General features: G+C 40.7%; 1 protein-coding gene and 1 long non-coding RNA gene across 6 annotated transcripts in view; one reads left to right on the forward strand and one right to left on the reverse strand.

The window, feature by feature from the left end:
• The window catches only part of ROR1 (receptor tyrosine kinase like orphan receptor 1), a 407,482-nt gene that overhangs the window by 256,523 nt on the left and 128,434 nt on the right, over positions 1 to 22,525 (forward strand). For all 5 annotated transcript variants that reach the window (NM_005012.4, NM_001083592.2, XM_011541526.2 and 2 more), the window contains 2 exons: positions 19,152 to 19,439; positions 20,147 to 20,177. In NM_005012.4, coding sequence (NP_005003.2) covers positions 19,152 to 19,439; positions 20,147 to 20,177 — 319 coding nt within the window. The remainder of the gene's footprint in view (positions 1 to 19,151; positions 19,440 to 20,146; positions 20,178 to 22,525) is intronic.
• Positions 3,396 to 4,474, reverse strand: LOC105378772 (uncharacterized). Its single transcript, XR_947458.3, has 2 exons — positions 4,387 to 4,474; positions 3,396 to 3,592 (listed from the first exon to the last, which is right to left on the reverse strand). It is a non-coding gene; the product is annotated as an uncharacterized LOC105378772 (long non-coding RNA).

The raw sequence follows: 22,525 nt of genomic DNA on the forward strand, positions 1-22,525 counted from the left end.
GCCTACCTCCGTCACTCATTCCTTCATGGAGAAGTAATCTCCCTTTCTCTAGAGGAATTGAAGCCATCTGCATGACCAGTTTTCAGGAATGCTATATCGAGAATGCTCTGGGGGTGTTGGTATAACTAATATTTTAGTTTTCTTTCATCTCTAAAGTCTTCTGACTCAGGAATTCTCTATCCCTGACATAGACTTAATGGAAATAGACCTATAAAACCTAACTTCTCCCATCCCTTTGTGGGTAATATATATTAGAAAACTTATATTTAGATTATTACAAATTATCTTTACATTGTTTCATGTATGTTGGTCCAGTGAATTAGGGGTGTGTGTGTGTATGTATGTGTGTGTACATATGTATGTGTGTTTTGAGACAGGATCTCACTCTTCGCCCAGACATGATCACAGCTCACTGCAGCCTCAATTTCCTGGCCTCAATCGATCTTCCCACTTCAGCCTCCTGAGTAGCTGGGATTCCAGGCACACACCACCATGCCTGCCTAATTTTTGTAGAGACAGAGTTTTGCCATGTTTCCCAGGCTGGTCCTGAACTCTTGGACTTGAGCAACCCGCCCGCCTCTGCCTCCCAAAATGCTGGGATTATAGGCATGAGCCACCACGCCCAGCTTCTGTCAGTTAGTATTTATGAAGCTGTTTGGAGGACACAGCTTGGAAATATCCATACTAACAAAATTGACTTGGTTCTGACCAGTAGAGGCTGTATTTTTCAACCAAAGGCTACACTGTCTGGGGAAGAAAATGGTAATATGCATGAGTTGTCCACGACTGTAGAAGTCAGATGGATGAGGTACTTAGCCTTGCTATCCTGAGTACATTCCATGCTGAAGGTGGGTCCCAGCAGCCTGAGCCCCCCAGGGTCAGCTTCTGGGGCAGGCAGCCAATGTTCTGATGTAGCTGCCATTTTTCTTGGATGATTCATGTGTGAAAATGTCTCCCCCAAAAGAATTTGGGTCATCTTGTTCTTTTTCCCAAAGCCAGGCTCTTATCAGACCAGAAGAGTCTCTTCATACAAATGGATCCCAGTTGGGAAGTTTATGAATGTTAAGGATAGTTGCTCATTCCAAAATACATAACCCTTTTTGTCTGTGGCATCTTATATTTGACTATATTGCTTTTTCTACTCAACAGAATTGGATCTTAGAATCCTGGAGCTGGTGTATGTGTGACTTCAGAGATAACTTAAAAATGATCACGTATTTCTGTCTTCTAAATTCAGATGGTTTAACTCATTATTTCTTTTTTCTTGTGAAGGCATAGCCTTGAATTTGAACACAGCTTTTGCTTTTGTGTGTGTGTGTTTGTGTGTGCGTGTGCATGCACTATAACATTTTGGCTTGTGCTATGAAACTCTTTTTTTTTTTCTGGTCAGAAGAAAGATGACAACACTGAATCAACTGCCAGTAACATCCAAAACCAGTTCAATATTACCCCCTGGTTTCTTTTCCTAGGAAAAATATCACAGGTATCTTCCTCCTCTTCCATTTTCATTATACAAAATATGGCCGGGCGCGGTGGCTCATGCCTGTAATCCCAGCACTTTGGGAGGCTGAGGCGGGCGGATCATGAGGTCAGGAGATCGAGACCATCCTGGCTACCACAGTGAAACCCCGTCTCTACTAAACATAAAAAAATTAGCCGGGCATGGTGGTGGGTGCCTGTAGTCCCAGCTACTCAGGAGGCTGAGGCAGGAGAATGGTGTGAACCCGGGAGGAGGAGCTTGCAGTGAGCCGAGATTGTGCCACTGCAGTCCAGCCCAGTTGGCAAAGTGAGACTCCGTCTCAAAAAAAAAAAAAAAAAAAAAAATGCAAAAAGCAAAATATGTTGTTCCTGCATGGAGATTGGGGGAGGAAGAGAATTATATTTTGCAGTGTCTTGCAAGGAATAAATACCATCAAAACACTTGAATATGAAGTTGACACTACTTTGGAATAATGTAGCCCATTGTGCCTGAAGCTTAACAGACATGACCCAAAGAAAAGAATGGTTCACACAATATCAAGAGTACTTTGTGGCAGAGGTGGGACCAGACTCCATCCCCTGGTCCTCACTGCACAGCCTTATAACATCATAGCTTCTCAAAAGTATCCTAAGATTGCAATGGAGACCAGACCAAGCAGTCAGCCCCATCAGAGCTTGGAGGATGCTATCAGGGAAGTGTATGTTTGTTTCTTCTTAATCACAGTCCTATTGTAAGCCTCAAGGATTTAGGACCCACAAAAGGAAATTCTCAATTTCCACTGCTTTTTGTACTCAACTTTTAAAGTCAAAGATGGAAAAGGTAAGAAAATAAACAAGAGACTTTTTTTAAAAAACAATATTCTGTATGACACCACTTATATGAGGTACCTAGAGTAGTGAAATTGATAGACAGAAAGTAAGATGGTGGTTGCCAGGGATTGGGAGGAAAGGAGAATGGGGAGTTAGTCTTTAGTGGGCACGAGGTTTCAGTTTGAGAAGATGAAAAAAGTTTTGGGATGGATGGTGGTGATGGTTGCATAACAATATGATTGTACTTAATGCCACTGAGCTAAACACTTAAAAATAATTAAAATTGTACGTTTTGTCACGTATATTTTACCACAGTTTTCAGAAAGTGCAACGTCCTTGGTATAATCTGGAATCTCCATACCCCTATGCACATGCATCCCCAGAAACAGGATATCGTATTCTAAAGAATGATAATAACAAATTTATGCTATTTTTAATTCACCTTAATTTTGTTGTTTTCAAAATAATTGCATATACGTGGTTGCATCTGACAGTCACCAAAACTGGGAGAAAAGCATAACTGATCTTTTATTTCACAGATGAGTAAACTGAGGCTCAGAGTTACACTGCTGACAAGTAACAGAGTGGTACTAGAACCCAGGACTTCTGACATGTATTCCTGGAGCCATGCATGATCCTGTGTAAAAGTTCTAAGTTGATACTTAACATATTTTACTTACTAATCTTAGAAAAGAGACTAACACATTTTAAAAGGATTTTCAAAAACTTGAAGTGGTTTAGAGGTTTTAAGCATGAAAATAAGTTAACTTAGTTACCTCATTGTCTAGACATCCTGATTAATGGAGGTTTTACTATATAGTAATAATAATGACAAACCCTTATATAGAACTTCACTGTGCACCAGGTACTGTTCTAAGTACCTTAAGAACACTAACTCATTTATCAAAATGTACTATTTGTATTTAAAATGTATAATGAAATTTATTGAGACTTGCATGTGCCAAACACTTTCCTAAGTGCTTTATACACTTTATCTCATTTAATCCGTGTAACAGTCTGAAGCAACAGGTAATACTAGAGCTTGGAGATGTGAAATAATTTGCTCAAGGATACATGAGAACAAGTGACACAGCCAGGACTCAAACCCAGGTCCACCCATCTCTTTACTGTGATTCAGATGGTGTCGTGTGTGTCTTTCTATTCACTGTTATCTCTAAATGTTAGTTACGTCATTCAGGCAGCTGGAGCAGTGTCCAAGTAGGGATGCTGGTTGGCTCATAGTTTACTTCTTGAAGACTTCTAATTTTACCCTGAAATTCTGGCTGGAAATTTGATTCCATTGCTGAAAATGGAAGAAATACAGCTTTCATGTTCATGCACAATTTGCTTTTTCATTTTTTTTTTTTTTTATTATCCTGAGACTTACTGTAAATCACACTTTCCCATCAGTCCTGGGGGTTCTGATTATGTTCATGGGGTCTAGCTAAGAGCAAGGGCAGTAAATTACTGCCACTTTGTTTGAAAATTTTTTTAGCCACAGTACATTAGCTGCTTTTGTTTGCTTTTCCACTGGTGGTGTGCCCATTTTTATTTCAGAATTTTTGTTTCTTGAATGTCTCATTTGTGAATAATGTAGCTTCCAAAATGGAATGATTGGAGAAAAAATATGAACGAGGGTGTCTTGTTTGGCACCTGTAAGTTTTTTAAGCATTTATAGCAAAAATGAATTATTGAGTCCCCCCTCTTTCTCTCTCATACTCTCTCTCACTCACTCATCTGCATTCTCTTTCCTTCCTATTCTCTCCATTCTACTCCATTTCCCAAAAAACAATTGCTAGATAATGACCATTATGGTGGCTAATATCAGGTAACTACCAAGAAGTGCCTTCTTCCAGGCTTCTGTAAGTATTCTTGTTTATTTGAAAGATTGATAGATCAGAGGGTCAGGGGATGTGTTTTATTGTAAGTTTCTGTTCCAAATTTCCTGACATTTTCCATTAAAATATATAAATAAATAAGCCTTTTAAAAGGAAGAAATGGAACTAATAAGAACCAGACCCTAAAGTGATGGTCAAAATGTCAAAAATAACTGCTTTTCCTTTATTCAGTATCATTAATCTCGAGGTAGATACCTACCTTTCCATAGACTCTCCCTAATAGCTTGACCTGATTCTCTTGCTGGGCTATTCACAAATAGAGTGACTTCTAAAGTGACACCAAAATCCTCAGTAGCTCTTCAGGAATTGGTGTGGGAGTTCAGTGGCAATATTTTCATATGTTTTTCAAATCACATCTTTTGGTAAAGTGATGAGAAAGGAGGCTGTGGCACACACTAGCAGTCCAGAGCACAAGGCCCCCTCATGAGTCTCCATCATCATAATGTTTGTGAGATCATCCTAAAGGTGCTAGAAAATAGTGATGCTTGTGTGCAACCTAGATGAATTTGAAAATTAACTGATTTTCCTCAAGTTTGTCAGAGTTTCTAAAGTGGCTTTGGAAAGGGTTCCATTGCACACGAAGAGGAAGCTTAAGTTAGACAATGTTTGTCCTTATCAATAATCCATACAAAAATTGTTTATTTCATTTTCTTGGACTTTATATGCGATACCTTTCAGGGAGGCTGCCTACCTCATAATAGCCCTCTGTTGTCTGATAGCTGCTTTCACGACCCATCATGAGGGGCCTTCAGCAGCCATGTTTGAATTTATAACCCTGTCCTTCTGGTGAGAGTTGATTGGACCAGGGAGAGGACACCTGGCCCAGGTTACGCCAGAGTCTCTTTCCCAGGAATTTGCAATTGGAACTCAGAGGTAGCCTGTTAGTGTTTGTCAGTTGCTGTTAGTGCCAAGAGATCAATCTGGGGGCCATAGAGTGTTGATCTTCTACTGTGTGCATAGAAAAGCCAAGAAAGCTGGTTTTCAAAGAGAGATTTAAGCAGATTCATAAAGAGAATTAGAGTCTGGGGGTGGAGGGAGATTCCTGATCTGGTTCCCGGCAGCTTTCCAGTTCTTGGTTCTCGTTCCTCCCGAAACCTGGCCAGACATCTTGCCAGAGTTTCACAAGAAACCCTTGCATCCTGTGTTAAATTCCCCATCCACCTCGTCTGCTTTTCCTCACCCTCTTACACTGGCTTGAGTTAGTTCCTGTTGCATGTAATCAAAGAGTCTTAACAAAGACAGATTGATACCTCTCTGGTGTGTATTTGATTATAGAGATGGCCAAGTAAACACATAGATGGATGTTCATACTTGCCCTTTGGTACCCTAGAAGGTTTGAGTTGGGAACAAACCTCAGAGATCTCCTAGCCTTATCCTCACATTAGACAGATATGGAAACTGAAGACTATAGACAGGTAAAATAAGTGATTTACCCAGGGTCACACAGCTAGGACTCGATCCCTAGCCTTCTGGTCCTCAGGCCAGCCAATGTTCTTTCTAGGCTGGCTCCCTAGTGCCATCCATCCATCCATCCACCCATCCATCCAGTAAATATAAACTGAGCAAGATTCTGCTACATGACAGGTACTGGGGTACATGTTTTTTGTCCTCAACAAACTCACAGTGTGGAAGGACCAAAGTTCTTTATGTTTATTTTTACTTCATTCCCTGGGGTTTCCCATCTGGAGGGCACTTTACTAACTTTGCTAGCCCACGATCACAGCGAGTTCATCCAGGAGTCTCCCAGAATATACTCCCATCATGTATTCTCTGTGCCTCTTGGGTCTATTCTTTCCTAATATTTGTGATAATCCATGTTCATATTGAATCTCCCCTGGGAGATCCTTGAAACCAGGGACTGTGTGTAAGTCATTGCTTTTACTTCCTAGCACGGAATCTGTCACAAGATACTTCTCCAATAAATGTCTGCTTTTCTAGAGAATTTACTTCACTCCTTAGAATCTCAAGTGAGAGCTGTGTATCAGTTAGCTCCTGCTAGGTAACAAACCACAACAAACATAGTAGCTTCCAGCAACAATCATGTATTATTATTCTCTCTCCTGGTTCTGAGAGTTGACTGGGATCAGCTAGATGATTCTTGTGCAGAGTCTCTCATGTGGTTGCAGTCAGATGGTGGCTGGGTCTAGGGTCATCTTAAAGACTTTGTCATTCACATGTCTGGTGTCTCGACTGAGAAGACAAAAACAGCTGGAGTCTGGAACAGCTGGGGCTGTTTCACACACAAGTGTTGTTTGCACAAGAGATGTCCAAGAGCTTCTCTTTATTCTCTCCAAGCACTCTCCATGTGGTGGCCTCAGGGTAACTGGTGACTGAAGGCTCCCAGAGGGATTGCCTCAAGTTTTTTTAAACCTGACTCTGAAGTCTCTCACACAGTGTCACTTCTGCAACATTCTGTTCTCAGAGGTCCTGCCACATGCAAGAAAGACACGATCACAGAGGTCCTGCCAGGTGCAAGGAAAGGGCACACAGACTCCACCTTCTCATAGAAGGAGCATCAAACAATTTGCAGATAGTTTTCTACATCTCTGCTTGATATGTCTTCCTGCATGAGAAATATGAAAAAATGAACACTTTTCAGGGAGCTTTCATTTCAGCTGGAAGCCATGATTTTCAGACAACTGATAGTTTCTGGCTTCACTGACAGCTACATCCATTGCAACTAGTTTGCTAGCCCGAGCTGCAGTTACTCACAGAATTTGCTAACTATGGACTTTAGTGGCCTAGGAGTTAGCATGGGCAGGCAAGGTGGATCAGGGCCTTGTTTTATCATGCAATTCTTGTGTGCTGGGAACTGGCTAGGCTCTATGGTTAATAAGACCGTGATGAAAAGATGCCTTGGGGTTCCTCAATGTAGTCATATATGAGTGGTTCTGTTTTTAGTTGTCACCATGATGAGGGTGTGCAGTTGACATTTATTGAATAGGGGTTTAGGATGTTAAACACGCTACCATGTGCTAGCAATCCTGCTGGAGGAGGAACTTTCCTACCAAAAATGCTAATAATTTCTGACCTAATGTCAGAAACACAGTGAAGTGGGGAAGCTGTGAGAAGTGCACTGTGGAGTCCTCAGCAGATATGCATGGTACATGTCACCAAGGGTGGCATCTGGTTTGTGTGCCACACTCTCCCCAAAACAACTGCACAGCTTCTGCCCTTCCTCTCCCCTCTGCAGCCTTGCTCTCCATCAAGGCCCAATGCAAGCACCCCCTACTCTCTCACACCTTCCCTGATTTCTAGAGCTGGACAGGTTCACCCCCTCCTGAGCATAAAACAGCCCTTTCCTTACCTCTTTCCTTGTTCTGATTATTTTCATATGTTTCTTTTGTATCACTGTTTTGCGAGGCCAAGGAGAGATGGGACAGGTCCCCCCTCCATGTCCGCACAAGTATTTAATAAGTATTTGCTTATTTATCTTCTGTTTCCCCTCTCCTGTCTACTCCTCGCCTCCCCTAAATGCCTGCACATTCCAGCAAGAGGACAGGAAGTCTGGGGTTTCTCCGCCTCTCCACTCCACACTGGGTCTTGCCCACTCTGCCTGATAAAAGTCAGGGAACCATCTGGCCTCTCTGCCACCACCTCAGTAACCTTGGCCAGCCTGTTTTGATCTCAGCCTCCCTTTCTCCACCCTATCTTGTGAATGCCTTCAACACTCAGCATCTTGACCACACACTTGGCTTTTGCTCTCACTCTGACTTGTACTTCCAAATTAGATCCCTAGAATAGCTCTGCTTTCCTTCCAGATCTTAAGGGGCTCCTGAAGGACAGAGGCCGCATCACCTCTTTTTAAAAAAATTCCACCGATTGCAAGGTGTTACCTCCTTTGGAAACCCTTCTCTGACACCTCTGGCCTGGAAAATGGGTTAAGTTTCCCCTTTCTAGGGTTCTTTACCACCCTGAACATACCCAGATCACACTTTATCATGATTATCTCTTTACCTGCATGACTGTGTAGCCAGGATGAGTGATCTTTGAGTGCAGGCTCTTAGGTTTTTGTTTATCTATTTATAATAGATAGCAAAATAAAAATAGATCCGTTCATCTCTTCATCTAGCATTTTACACGTCTATCTTTAGCAAGCCTGTGATCAGTTTAAGGAGCCACAGCAAATGAAAAAGGCATGGTCCCATCCTCAAAGTTCACGGCCTTGTGTGTTGAATTGATTTTTGTCTCTTGCTACAAAGAAAATAGTAGCTCCTTCAGTCTTCATCTCCAGATTTCTCAGTGCTTTTCTGTTTTCTTGAAAAGCAGTAGAGCAGATAATTTCTAATTGTTGAGGAATCTGGTTCAAAATTTCAAGGCAAAACCGCCCCATTCATGAGAGAGAACATTCAAGTGACAGGGCCTTCACCATTGCACTGCCCTGCTAACAGGAGACCTTGAGTTGTGGTCAAGTCAGCAGATTCTTTTAAATTTTGAAATACAGATCTTGCATAATGAATGGAGAAAGGGAGAAAGAATGGCTTGTGTGCCCTTTTGTGCTCCTTGAAGTTTACATTCTGGGAAAACATGAAACTGGAGTGTCAGCCTTGGTGGAACTGAGTTGGAATGCTGACTGGCACACAAAGGGATTCTGGTCCTGTTTAACCAAGATGTGACTTTAGAATACTGAGATTGTATGACTTTATGGATCCCCAGAGGAATAGAAATTCATGGGCCAGAATGACAAACTTTTATTTTGAAAGCCACCTAGGCTCCACTTAGAGCCATCAAATGCTTGAGAATTTATTATGACTGGGCAAGCCACTGCCTAAGAGTCAGGCCAGGGTAGTGAAAATACACACGGACTTTGTCTTTGAATGACCTGAATGTGGCCTAGTTCTTCCTAGCACAGGGCTCTCTACCAGAGCTGAAAGCACAACTGTTGCATTTGCATGACATAGAAGCAGCCAAAAGCTTCCACAGTGAGGATCATGTGTCGTGTTGATGCTGAGGCATCTCCTGTGCATGGTACTGAAATCACAGAGATGACTTATGATGTGTTCTGTTTGTGTTGGCCCAAAGCCCAAACCAGAAATGTATTTCAGGCTTGGCTTTCTAGATTCTATCTCCAGTCATGTAAAAGTTCATTACGTGGACCCACTCATCCTGTCCTGCTATAGTTAAGGTCTGTCAGCATTTTTCAAAGGTTTATAATTCAACCACAAAGGAGAATGCAGTCTTTAGGCTGCAATGTGACCTATAAAGCTTAAGCCCCGGGGTCAGAAACTTTGCTTTTTTGTTGTTGTTTTTAAGTTAGGCCCTTACTAAGTTATAGTGAAGCAAAGTAATAGCTGGTGGTTTTGTTATTATTATTTGGTTTGGTTTTACAGGGATGGGAAAAGCTTCAAGTGACTTCTTGGAATGTAGATGTACCCTAAACCTAAAGAGTTGTTAGGACTATAGATTTACTTATCATCCTAGCATTCAGCTAAAGATGGGGGTTTAGTTTTTAAAAATTTAGCATTTTAAAATTGGGATGGATGAGGCTGAGAAAGTTAGAAACAAGATTGGGAATATTTCACCAAAACTCAAGGACCAATTCTCAAGCCAGAAACTTTGTATTCAAAATTCTAGTTAAAAGACTTTGGTCATATTATATAAAAATCAAGTCATTTCCCTGATGGTTAAGTTTGTTTCTGCTCATAAATTCTAAGTATTCCCACTTAGAAATTTAAGTGAAAAGTGCACATATGATAAATATAAAGTAACAAAATGATACCTTCTCATAATAAAAACACTTGAAAATTTGAGGTAAAATAGATACAAAAATACACTTTCTATGTCTGTTCAGCTGCTATAATAAACTACCATAGACTGGGTGGCTTATAAAACAACAGAAACTTATTTCTTACAGTTCTGGAGGCTGGAAGTTCAAGATCAGGACACCAGCATGGTCAGGTTCTCCCTGTTGAGGGCTCATTTCCTGGTTCACAGACAGCTGTCTTCTCATTGTGTCCTCACATGGTAGGAGAGGCAGGGGATGTCCCTGGGGTCTATTTTATAAGGGGACTAATCCCATTCGTGAAGGTACCATCCTCATGACCTAATCACTTCCCAAGGCCCCACCTCTTCACCCTGAGCATTCAACATATACATTTTAGGGGGCCACAAACATTCAGACCATATATCCACAAAAGCTTATAATCAGCAAAAGGTCTCTTAGAGTAACCTAATTTGTGGTTACTAAGGATCCCATTAAATAACCTGCTCCTGGGGTAAAAATAAAGACTGGTAAAAATCATAGCACCTTTGGTGTGGGAAGGAGGTTTTATCTGGATGGTCTCAAGTCAATTAATAGTGGGAAAAGTTCTTAATGACAGTATGTTATAAAATGCAGATTGGCAGTAGGGACAGGAGAAGAGTGTCAATGGAACTGAGTTCCAGTCCAACCTGTGTACAGTCTAGCTATGCTAAGACCTCTATAAACCTTGGTATCTTCCTTAAAATGGGGCTGGAAAATCCTATGTATATATACAGGGTTCTGGTGATGACAAAATGCAATAATACATGTAAAATGCCTGATAGAATCAGTGCCTAATATATGTTTTTCCCTTCTTCTCCCACCTTTATTAATTATACCTGAGACATAAAACAATCTAAATGCTGGAGACCAGCCACTCTAATTTGGTAGAGATCTTTTCTTAAAAGGAAAAAGTAGTTTCCCTGAGCTTTTAAGAGTGCATTTACATACAATTTGTCTATTTGTAAAAAAGACCTATTCATTAAAATAAGCCTCTAAGTAGCAAAGTGCAAGTTTTCTTAAACTCCTTTGAGTGGCACCACATGCTAACTGGGCTTCCTAAGGAAAGAACTATAAAGGTGGCTGTCTTTCCCCATTAACCCTGATTTATAGGGGGTTTTGCTCTAAGTGCATATTTGCAGAACCATTCTTAATGTGTGTGTGTTCTCTCCCCAAAAAGGAGGCACATTATTGGCCATTTGTTGTCTTTGGTCCAGTGGATACTCTTTAAACCCACTCTTACTACTCTGTAGTCAATAGCCCAAGCTCAGCTTGATGCATTAGTCCTTGTGTTTTCAAGAAAATGTGTTCGGCCAGCACCCAGCCCAGCACAGCACTTCTTTTCTTTTCACTTTTAACCATCATATCCCCTGGTTTCCAGCAGGTTCATTCACCCAGAAAATGTTTATCTTCATTGTGCCACCTCGGTACTTAACCTGGGGCAGAGGTTTGGATACTGGGGAGTGCAAGAGGAAGGGTTGGGTTGGAGGTGCGGTTTCACTCTTTATCAGTTATGTGACCTTAGGCAACACACTTAATGTCTCAGCATTGGTTTCTTCTTGTAAACAAGGGATTGTAGTGGAGAATACTCCTGAGGATTTTTGAGGAATAAGTTAATTACAGGGTTTAACAGGAAGCCAGGCAAGAATCAGGGGTCAGGAAATGGTAGTGATAGTTACTGTAGCCAGGTGTTCTCTTATTCACTACACAGGAGAATCATTTGGAGAAGGGCTTTTAAAAATGCTCATGTCTGGATTCCATCCTCGAACAATTAAATTAGAATCTCTAAGGGTGGGACCCAGGTATCAGTATTTTTTTCTGGAATACTTTTGATATTCCAGAGATGGATTAAATCCTTTAACCCCCACAACATCCCTAATGGGTAGGTATCATTATTAGCCCATTTCACATTTGAGGAAACTGAGGCTTAGAGAGGTTAAATCACAGCAAGTAAAAGGTGATGCTCAGATATGAAGCCAAGCAGTCTAGCTCCAGAGCCCATGCTCTTGGTTGGTGTGACGCAGTCTATTATTATAAGCAGTGCCTCCAGTGAGATGTCCGGTGAGAACTAAGATCCAGCAGGTGGGGTCATCCGATGGTTTCGGTCCCTTCATACCTTCAGGTTACCCACCTCCTGCTTTTACCTTCAGCTCTGTGTGTTCAGGACTTCCCAGCAGCCCTGTATCAGATAATGAACTGTGGTTATTCAGAAGTCCCCCGCTATTTTCGGCTGATTTTATTAAACTCAGCTTGTGGCTTGAACTCAAGAATGTGCAAGCTGATTTAGATTATGCTTTGCATTGAGTTTATTAAGATAAAAAATATTTCCCGAGATAGTGAGTCAGAAGTATTTATGGTGAAGTGTGCTGAAAGTGAATGCAGGTTGATAGCGTGAACAGAATGTTCTCTCCAAGTCAAATGCGATGACCTAACTGTGTTTGGCAGCCTTCCTTTATGTTTAGCTAAGCATTTCATTTCATGTTGGGAACCTCCTCCCTCTTCTGAAAAGCATCAGTCATGTGGGAGGCTAGGATTTTGGCATGTGCCTCTTTTGATACCAAGACCCAGGCCCTAAACCTAATTGTGACTGGCTCCTCGGCTGACTGGCTGGGTTGCCATGGCAATGGACTGCTCAACTCTTTATATCTCAGTTTCTCTCACCTGTCAAAATGGGAATATAACACTTGGCCCCACCTTCCTCCCTGAGGAGAGATGGGGGCACTTTGAAAATTAAGTAATAAATGTTGGGAAGGATTTGTGGATTTGTGGATGTGACATCTTGTCAAGTGGGTAAATAATAAATGGGGTGTCTCCAAAGCTAATTTGCCTAAAATTCACTTGAGCCTTCCATTTACTTCATCAACCAGCGTTTATTAAATGCCTATGAAGTTCACAATAACACATGAAGTGCTGAGGGGAATACAAAAAATGTAAAAAGGAGGAAATAGAGTCTCAATTCCCAGAGAGGTCATAAAATAACTTTTTTCTTGCAGTTTGCTTTTTCTGGTTCATTAAGCCTCAGTACAGACCATGCCTGCACTGTATTTAAAAAGCTCATTCTCAATGATGACTTCCAGTTACGTCATAAGCAACTAGTGGTGATTTAGTTGTTTTCAGTACCAGTGGGTATTGTCACATGCTTGATGGACTCATAAAAAGGCAAGAATATTTTTTAGTTCAGGTTATGAGTGGTGCAAAGGACAATGAAAGACTACAGGTTGGATTGATTGGGAATCTGATTGCATCAGAACATAATATGGTCTCTGCTGTTCAAAGGCGTGGGTTTGGGTCCTGGCTCTGCCGCTTTCTGGCTGTGTGACTTTGGGAAATTCCTTAACTTCTCTGTGTCTCAGTTTCCTTATCTCTAAAATGTGGTCAGTTTTAGAGTCTACCTCATAGGATTGTTGTCAAGTTTAAATTAAAGTGTGTAAGATGCTCAGAATAGTGCCTGGCATTTTGTAAATGCTCAGAAAAATGTTAGCTATGATCATCACTTTCCATTGTTAATGGGAGAAGATGGTGGCACTAAAAGGATACTGGCATTTCATTTTCCTACATTGTAAAGGTAACAAATCCTTTTTAATTCAGAGTCCTAAACTTTTGCCCAGATCTGACACAATCGCTTGGGATTGCCCCAAAGCCCCAAACTGCTTGTTCGGAAATAGAAAACATGCCATCCAAGCCACTCTGCTCTCTGACTCATACCGTTCAGGGCCTGAGCTAACCCATTTTGTTCTGAAAGCCTTACACCAGTCTAGGACCCTGAGGGCTGGGAAAGGGCAGCTATGGAGTGTGATGGAAACAGCGCTGGGCTTGGTGTCCAAATCCTGGCTTTGCCTTTTATTAGCTGTGAACTCTGGGATAGGCTGTTAAGTCCTCTGAACTGCGGTTTACCCATCCTAATTGTGCAAAAGCAATGGTGGGTGAAACTGCTCAAACAAATTCAGACAATGGCACCAACGGTACCAAACTAGTGGTCACTGTACATTCCACTGCCATATACTTGTAGTTGAAAAGAAAAAAAAAGCCAATTGCACTTAAGAATATCTTCCATGGAGCAGTAAAAATTATTAATTGTATTAAATCTTGACCCTTGAATACATAGATTTTTAATATTTCATATGGCAGATGGGCAGTATACGTAAAGTACTCCTGCCAAGTACTATGACTGTCTCAAAGAAAAGCATTTGAGTTCTGAGCTGAACTAGCCACTTTTACTTTAAAGAATGACCGACAGAAAAATTATGGTTAGTTATTCTTGAATATTCTTTAAAATGAGGAAAATGAACCTGCCGCTTGAAGGAAACAGTAGTATTAATTGCCAATAATAAAATTTGAACTTTCCAGAAAAAGTTAGAATTTTGCGAAACTTTTAGCCACCATCACGAGCTTGACAACTTCTTCCCAATCATAACTGATGGCACTGGTGGTGATATTAATGCATTTGAATTTTCTATATTAGATAAGTAAGGGTGTCCACATTTTGAAAACGAACGTAACTCAGTAAACCAGTGTTCTCTAAACAGGCAATGCATGATGTTACAAAATCGTATGTAGGTAGAATAACCATTCAAAGTACAAGATAAATCAATCCATTATAATTTAATAGATTATGAAAAGTTTATTGATATGATTTCAGATTTCACATTGCAACCAACGTTTAAGAAACTACCACCTATCGAATTTTGGTGTAGTATCAAAGAAGAATATCCTAAATTATCTGAAAGACTATTAAAAACCCTTCCCTTTTCCAACTGTGCGAAGCCAGATTTTCTTCAACTAAAACAACATACCTCAACAGATTGAATGCTGAAACAGGAGGCTTCAGCTGTCTGGTTTTAAGACAATAATAGATATTCAATAATAAAAAAAAAATGCCACTTTTCTCACTATTTTTGGTATACGCGTGTGGAAAATATTATTTTACTAAATATTTTATTAAAATATTTATGTTAAGCAATGGGATTGTTTTTATTTTTAAATAGGTTAATAAACAAATATTTTAAAACTTTCTCCCCTCAGTGGCATCAATATTTTAAGGATTATCTAGGAGTCCTGAGACCAAAGAATTTGAGAACTTCTATCCTACAGCATGGACTCTGGAGCCAAAATAATTTGTTTAAAATCTCACTTCTACTTACTGTCTGTGTGATCTTGGACAACTTTCTTACCCTCTCTGTGCCTTACCCTCTCTGTTTTCCATGTGTAAAATGTTCATAACAATAACTGTCATGATGATAAATACCATTTAGGTGTTAGGTATTACCACCATCATTATGAAATCATTATTGTTGTCAGTGTCATCATCATCATTATTACTAGTATTAGCACTGGAAGGCATCATTTGTTCAGGGACACAGAGCTAGAGGTGGATTCAGTGGGACTGGAACTTTTCCCTTAAGCCAGACTATACCCTACCTCCCACTTACCATCTGCCATCTTGACATTTGCAGTCTAGGGAAGAAGGGAAAAAAAGATGAGAAATCTTCCATAGCTCAAGCACATATCATCAGAGCTACTGAATCAAACCATTGAAAAAGGTACAAACAGCCAGGTTTACACATAAAAGCCAGATTGCTTTGTCTGGCATTCAAGCTCACTGGACACCTGCTGCCTGTCATCCAGTTGTTCTGCAGCTGCCCATATAGAAACACAAACTGTCTCAGAAGAAGCAGACCCAACCCCAAAGGCCCAGATTATGAATCCAAAGCCCAGGGAGGTGAAGTGATGGTCTGACACACATCGCTAGAGAGTGGCAGAACTGCTACTTGAGTCTAGTGTGAATTCCCTCTGGACTGGACACCTTTGCTGGGATGCCCAGGTGTTCTCGTTCTGCTTACTAAGTAAGCAGCTACAGATGGCCAACAAATTTGAAACTTCTTCTTCGTCAGTGAAAAGTTAAAACCAAATTCCCTGTTTGTGGCAAGGCTCCTTTGTTCAGTAAACACAAAGATCTATTTACATTTCTTTTGTTCTCTCTGGAAACACACTGCTTGGGTCATCTACTACACTGATTTCAAGGTGCCCTGCAACCCTCATGTTGTTTTTAGATAGATATTTTATAGAGCAGATCAGGTGAGGTGCCTGGCCTCTGGAGGGAAACCAGAAAGAACATCAGCCAGCACCCATGGCTAAAGCTTAGGCCCATTAACCAGACAGTCTTGGCTGAAGTTAGGGGAAGAGCACAACCCTGTGGGTATATGTGTGTCCACGGCCCACCTTGGTTTAGGGAGATATTCCAACTCTCCATGGGTCTCATGGTACCAAATCTCAGCCCTCAATGGGTCTCATGGTACCAAAGCAGACTGGTGGAGTGAAAAGATTTGGGCTTGGCAGCCAGAGAGATGTAAATTGGACCTCAGTTCTGCCACAAGGCCTCCGGCAAGTCACTAAACCACTCTGATCCTAGGTTTCCTCATTGTAAAACAGTGATAATGACTTCTCCCTTGCAAAGTTAGCATACAGGTGAATACTAAAGTAAAGCCCTAGCATATAGTAGGATTTCAAAATAGTCCATTATTGGTCCAGAACTGGCCAGCTGCCTCAAATGGACTTTCTTTAGGTGCTTGGCTGAGCCTGAGGATTAAAGGCCATTAGTGATGGAAGCTTTGGGCAGTTTCCTGAGTAACCATGGGGCAAGTCTGCTAATCTCTGAGACATGACTTCCTCATCTGCACTGGAAATCATAGTAATTAATGTGCCTTTCTTACTTCTCTAGATTGTTAGAGGATAACAGGAGACAGAGGCTGTGAAAACATTTTGTCATGTGAAAAGTGGTATACAGAAGTTATTGTTATAAAAACAATAGTAACAACATTAATTAACATTTTTGAGTGCTTACTTTTTGCCAAACACTGGTTGAAGTGCTTCCCAGATGTCACTCACTTTCATTTTAATCCTCTTCTAACAGTTCCCTCAGATGGAGCCCTGTTTATTATTTTGGTTTTTCCGTTGGTTAAACTGAGGTACAAAGAGGTTAAGTAACTTGCCCAAAGTCACACAGATAGGCAAGGGGCTGACCTGAATTCAAACCCAGCCAATCAAATTCCAGAACCTGTCCAATGCAGTATTAATCACTATGCTTATAGTGGCATTGTTATGTGATTGCTATCTCTAAGTTTCTCTCCACAAAGGGTACATAGTTATCTATTCTCAATGAATGATATGGGGCTATAAAGGCATGATAATGGCTCCATAGAGCCATCTGCTAATTAGTCTCCCTCCTTTCTGGGCATACCTCAAACATCTTAGGAACATATGTGCTTATATCCATGAGCAAACACATTCGTGGATTGAGTATAGATGTATATAGATTGGAGAAACATGCCCAAAGATAGAGATCAAAATATAAATGTTAGGAAGCAAAGCATTAGCAAGATCATTTATGGGCTCATGAATCTGTTGTGAAGGATAATTATTCATTGGCTTAAGTGAGATGGAAAGTGTCATTATGGTAATGCAGTAGTCATGCTTAATCTGTTTCCTACTGCACATGTGATAAATGCCATTCATATGTGAGACACACTCCTGTGAGGCTGCCCAGACATTAACAATGTTCCTTCTGAATTTGGGGGGACGGAAATTAAAGCAAATAATGAATCAATTATTTTTAGCATTTATGAACTCATTTTACAGACATTTGGGCAATTAAATTACCCGGTTAAATAGCTCAGAAAAATGTTACTTTTCAATAAACTTCCATTAAATTCAACAAATTTGTGGCGTTCTACCTGTGCTGTCCAGTACAGTAGCCACTAGCCACATGTGGCTATTTAAATTTAAAAATTCAGTTTTCAGTTGCTCCAGCCATGTTTCATGCATTCAGTAAGCCCTGTGTGACTAGTGGCTATCAATCAGACAGTGCAGATTATAGAACATTTCCATCATTGCAGAAAGTTCTGGTGGATAACACTGCTAGACAGTAGTATACACTGAGGATGCAGTGATGACCAGAACATTCCCATCCCTGCCCTTATGGGGCTGATAGCTCTGCTGAACAAGTTACCCCAGACTTGGACCTACGGAAGGACATAGGACAATGAGAAAGTATGGCAGGGGATCTATCCAAGAAGGGGTGCTTAGGAAAAATGAAACCAAAGAAAGCTCCCTACCCATGAATAACAGAGCACGTTTTTAAAAGAAATCAAACTTAATTAAAAATAAATAAATAATTTTATCTGCAATTGGATTCTACAACTAATATTAATATTGATGTTTAAATACTTGATTGAAGAATAAGCTTAAATAAAACTTATTTTGTTATTAAAATTCATAGTGCAATAAATCTTAAGAGGAGCCAAAGCAAAATATACATGCAGCATGATTCCATTTATATGAAGTTCTGAAACAGGCAAAATTAACCTATGGTAATAGAAATTAGAACCTTAGTTGCTTCAAGGTGGGGTGGGAGGGAGTGGTTGGGAGCAGGGACCAACTACAAAAGATTGTGGGGGTACTTTCTGGGTTGTTGATGTTCTATCAAGATAGGGACATTTGTTACATGAGTATATGCATTTGCCTGTACTCATAGAACTGTATAACTAAGATCTGTATATTGCACAGTATTGTATATGAATTAATCTATATATATGTGATCAAAATAATTACATATTGTAACATGTTATGGTTGATATCAGTAATATTATGGAAATGTCCATTGCTTTATTACTCTGTCTGCCTCTGACCTGGCCTTCATAACCTTATATTGTCAGTAACATGAAAGTTTCAGGCATCCTTTCTGATCTTGTGCCATGTGGATATGAATGTGTTGCTCCTACTTTTCCAATTTTTGATGCTTTCTTTCTTATCAAAAGTGAGCAAACTGGAAGGATGTTTGCCAGGATGTTAAAAATGGTGTTATTTTTGGGTGGGGAGATTTGAGGTGAACTTTATTTTCTCTCTTTTGCTATGCTGGAATTTGGAACAAGGAGTGTATATGATTTTTTGATCTGAAGCACAAAAGCTTATCCATGTAGTCTTTTGGAGACTTTGGGTTCTATACTCTGATTAGTGACAAATTTTCTTCCAAGCAGCAGGCTCTATGGGTGGTTATTTAGCAGTCCTCTGGTCTTAATCAATGTGATTGTTTCTTTCCTTGTCTGTCTCACCTGCCTCTCCTGCTCAGCCTCTCTGTGATCCCAAGGGTACACTGGAGGGGATTTGGCTGCTTGGAAGCCCTCTCAAGCTGTCTGCCCCTCTCACCTGCCTCCTCTCTGTGCTCACAGATTCTTACCTGACCCTCGATGAACCAATGAATAACATCACCACGTCTCTGGGCCAGACAGCAGAACTGCACTGCAAAGTCTCTGGGAATCCACCTCCCACCATCCGCTGGTTCAAAAATGATGCTCCTGTGGTCCAGGAGCCCCGGAGGCTCTCCTTTCGGTCCACCATCTATGGCTCTCGGCTGCGGATTAGAAACCTCGACACCACAGACACAGGCTACTTCCAGTGCGTGGCAACAAACGGCAAGGAGGTGGTTTCTTCCACTGGAGTCTTGTTTGTCAAGTTTGGTAAGCAGACCCCTACTGGGGATGGACTTTGGCCCTCAGCCCAATGTGGTAGGATGGCTAGAGTCCACAGGGACAGGAAGGAAGGAATGCACACTTAGTGAGAATGTACTCTGTGCCCACAACCCTAAACCTGGTATGGTTGTACCCATTTTACAAATAAGTAAACTAAGGCCCAGCAGTTAGTTACCATGTTACCCAGCTAGTAAACAGCAGAGCAGGAATGAGGTCCGGATCTTTCTGACCTCAGAGCCCCTAATTGAAACCATCGTGCCGTTGAGCTCTTTTCAACAAGGATGCTTCTTGTCCAAGAAGTTGGAAATGTTCGCAGCGTGCATGGCCCTTTTCCTGCCATCAAGGACTAGAAGGAAGCCCCACTCACTGTTGCAATCAACACCTTCATGCAACCACTCAGCCCATTGGAAACTCCCTGCATAGTTTGAAGATGCTTACTCGATTAACTCTTTTTTTAGCACTTGTCTTAGCATTTTCAGGCCCTGAATTGTGAGACATAGACACGTTCTCACTGGTATTTTTTTTTTTTTTCATAGAGATGGTTGGGGGAATAGAGCAAAACAATAAATTCCAGAAAAATAAATACTACCTCTGGGTGGTTGAGAACTTTAATTTGTAATGATTTGACTGTATCCATACTCACCCTCCAATAACCTAGACTGACTGTTTCTTTTGTTTTTCTTTCATTTCTTCAGGCCCCCCTCCCACTGCAAGTCCAGGATACTCGTAAGTACTTTTATCTCCTTTCTTGTCATTTCTAAGTGTTTCTCCGTGGTTTTCTAGGGCAAAAGCAATGTTGTCCTCTTCTTAAGCCAAAATACTGGCTTCCAGATGTCATTCCATTTTGCCCTGCCCTCATTCCATTTTGCTTGTTCTCTGCTCTAAAGATTCACAGGAGACCACCATTGGCAGAATTCTCAAGTGTAGTAATGTTGATTCTGAATGATCAAAGCAAAAATCTTCCATTTACTGTTTTAGAAGGAATCTAACATTTAGTGGCAACAATGGATTGATTTGGTAAAATCAAACAAAAAATGATATAGTGCTGGCATAGGAACCTTTACTCTCAGGGTCTATGTTTCTGCAAGCATTTTTGATGAATTCATTATTGATCAGGGCAACAATTAGGTAATCACTTTATTTTTTATTCCCTTTAAAGAACTCAAAAGCAGAAGTTCTGGCTGGGCGCGGTGGCTCATGCCTGTAATCCCAGCACTTTGGGAGGCCGAGGTGGGTGGATCACGAGGTCAGGAGATTGAGACCATCCTGGCTAACATGGTGAAACCCGTCTCTACTAAAAATACAAAAAATTAGCCGTGCGTCGTGGTGGGCGCCTGTAGTCCCAGCTACTCGGGAGGCTGAGGCAGGAGAATGGCGTGAACCCGGGAGGCGGAGCTTGCAGTGAGCCCAGATGGCGCCACTGCACTCCAGCCTGGGCAGCAGAGTGAGACTCCGTCTCAAAAATAAAAAATAAAATAAAATAAAATAAAATAAAATAAAATAAAATAAAAAAGCTGAAGTTCTAACTTACACTGGGAAAGAAAGTCCCAAGCTTGGACTGAGAGTTGCATGGAAGTTTGATTCATTTTGAGTCCCTCGTTAATGGAGTCTAAAGGTCCAATTTCTTTCACTAATGCTATTGTTGATGCGTTTGTCATTTGTTCTGGCTAAAGGATTCTCATCTTTCACTTTAAGAGTATCTACTTGGGGCATTTTTCTTTATCTATATTTTTATTTTGGGGGAAGGACCCACTTATTAAAACTCTTACTCTACAAAAAAAAATCCTCAATACTCTGTAGACTTTTGAAATAAAATTTTTGTGGCTCTGCCACAAGAGCATCAAAATGTTTGATCTAGACTACACCTATGGCAAATATAACAGCCACTTAATTTGCTCCAATCCCCTCTGTGCCACTTAATTACAGTGTGGGGTATTTTAATACATTTGTGTGTGCCTGGAGGCCCAGTGGCCCACAATCCCATTAATGAAATAGGTAATGGGTAAAAATAAACATTGGCCTTCAGCCACACAGTTCTGCTATTTCATCAGCCAGTTAAAGGCAACTGTAAAAGAGTCTTTAAAATCACTCAAGTGCTAATTGCATTCTACTTGCCCAGGTAGAAAATGCTGATTGATCTTAAAACAGGTCAGAAATTTGGTCACTCTGCCTTGCATTTCTTGATGCTAATCTGCTTTTTTTTTTTTTTTTTCAATGGTCTCACCATTGGTTATATGTGGAATCCTTTTGAAGTCTTAGTTAAACAAAGATGAAAACTTTTGTTACTTGTAAAAATGTCTCCCACCCTGGTACCTTATTTGTTCCTGTTAATCTGTGTTTCAAATGTGGCTGATAATCTATATCCCAGGCTGATTAATGTGGTTCACTAATCTGCCTTTACTATTAAGTACTGTGTTGTTGACTTTCAGCCTGTTGTATTTGCATTAGAGTTCTTTTTATTATCAAAATTATGATTATATCCTTCTATGTTCTTCTTGAAGTTTTCATTCTTCACTGCTGTCCTTCTGATGAACCCAGTCTAGGTCTCTCGTGGTTTTTAATTTTATACAAAGATTTTATACCCCTGTTGTGAACCGATATCTATGGAGAGGGTATTGAAGTTCCTTAAAGATGCTCAACCACAGCTAAAAAGTATCCTTTGATATCACGCATCTCTGTTTTATATTAGCTGTCAGATTATCTATTACATTAGTCGGTAATAGCATGAAATGTATAGTTACCATGTTTGCTTGCAGGGAGTTACAATAAAATACAATTCAAATTGGAAATCCCATGGGGCCTTTTGCAGTTACATCTCCATTCTGTTTTTGGCATTCCTAGTTGGCATTTTGGTACCTTTTTTTTTTCTTTCCCAGTGATGCATCCTGCTCTTTATCTCTTCTCTTAATTGCCACCACTTCCCCTGTCTCTAGGAGTTCTTCACTTCCTGAGACTAACTCCCAGAAAGAATGCTGGTTCCCATGCCTAGCTTCGGAGTAGCCCTCAATAGGCAGCCAACCTTCTCTCCAAGGGGACAGGCAGAAGATAACAAAATGATAGCCATGGGGAATATC

Source organism: Homo sapiens, chromosome 1 (genome assembly GCF_000001405.40).
Source record: "Homo sapiens chromosome 1, GRCh38.p14 Primary Assembly".
Classification (NCBI taxonomy): Eukaryota; Metazoa; Chordata; class Mammalia; order Primates; family Hominidae; genus Homo; species Homo sapiens.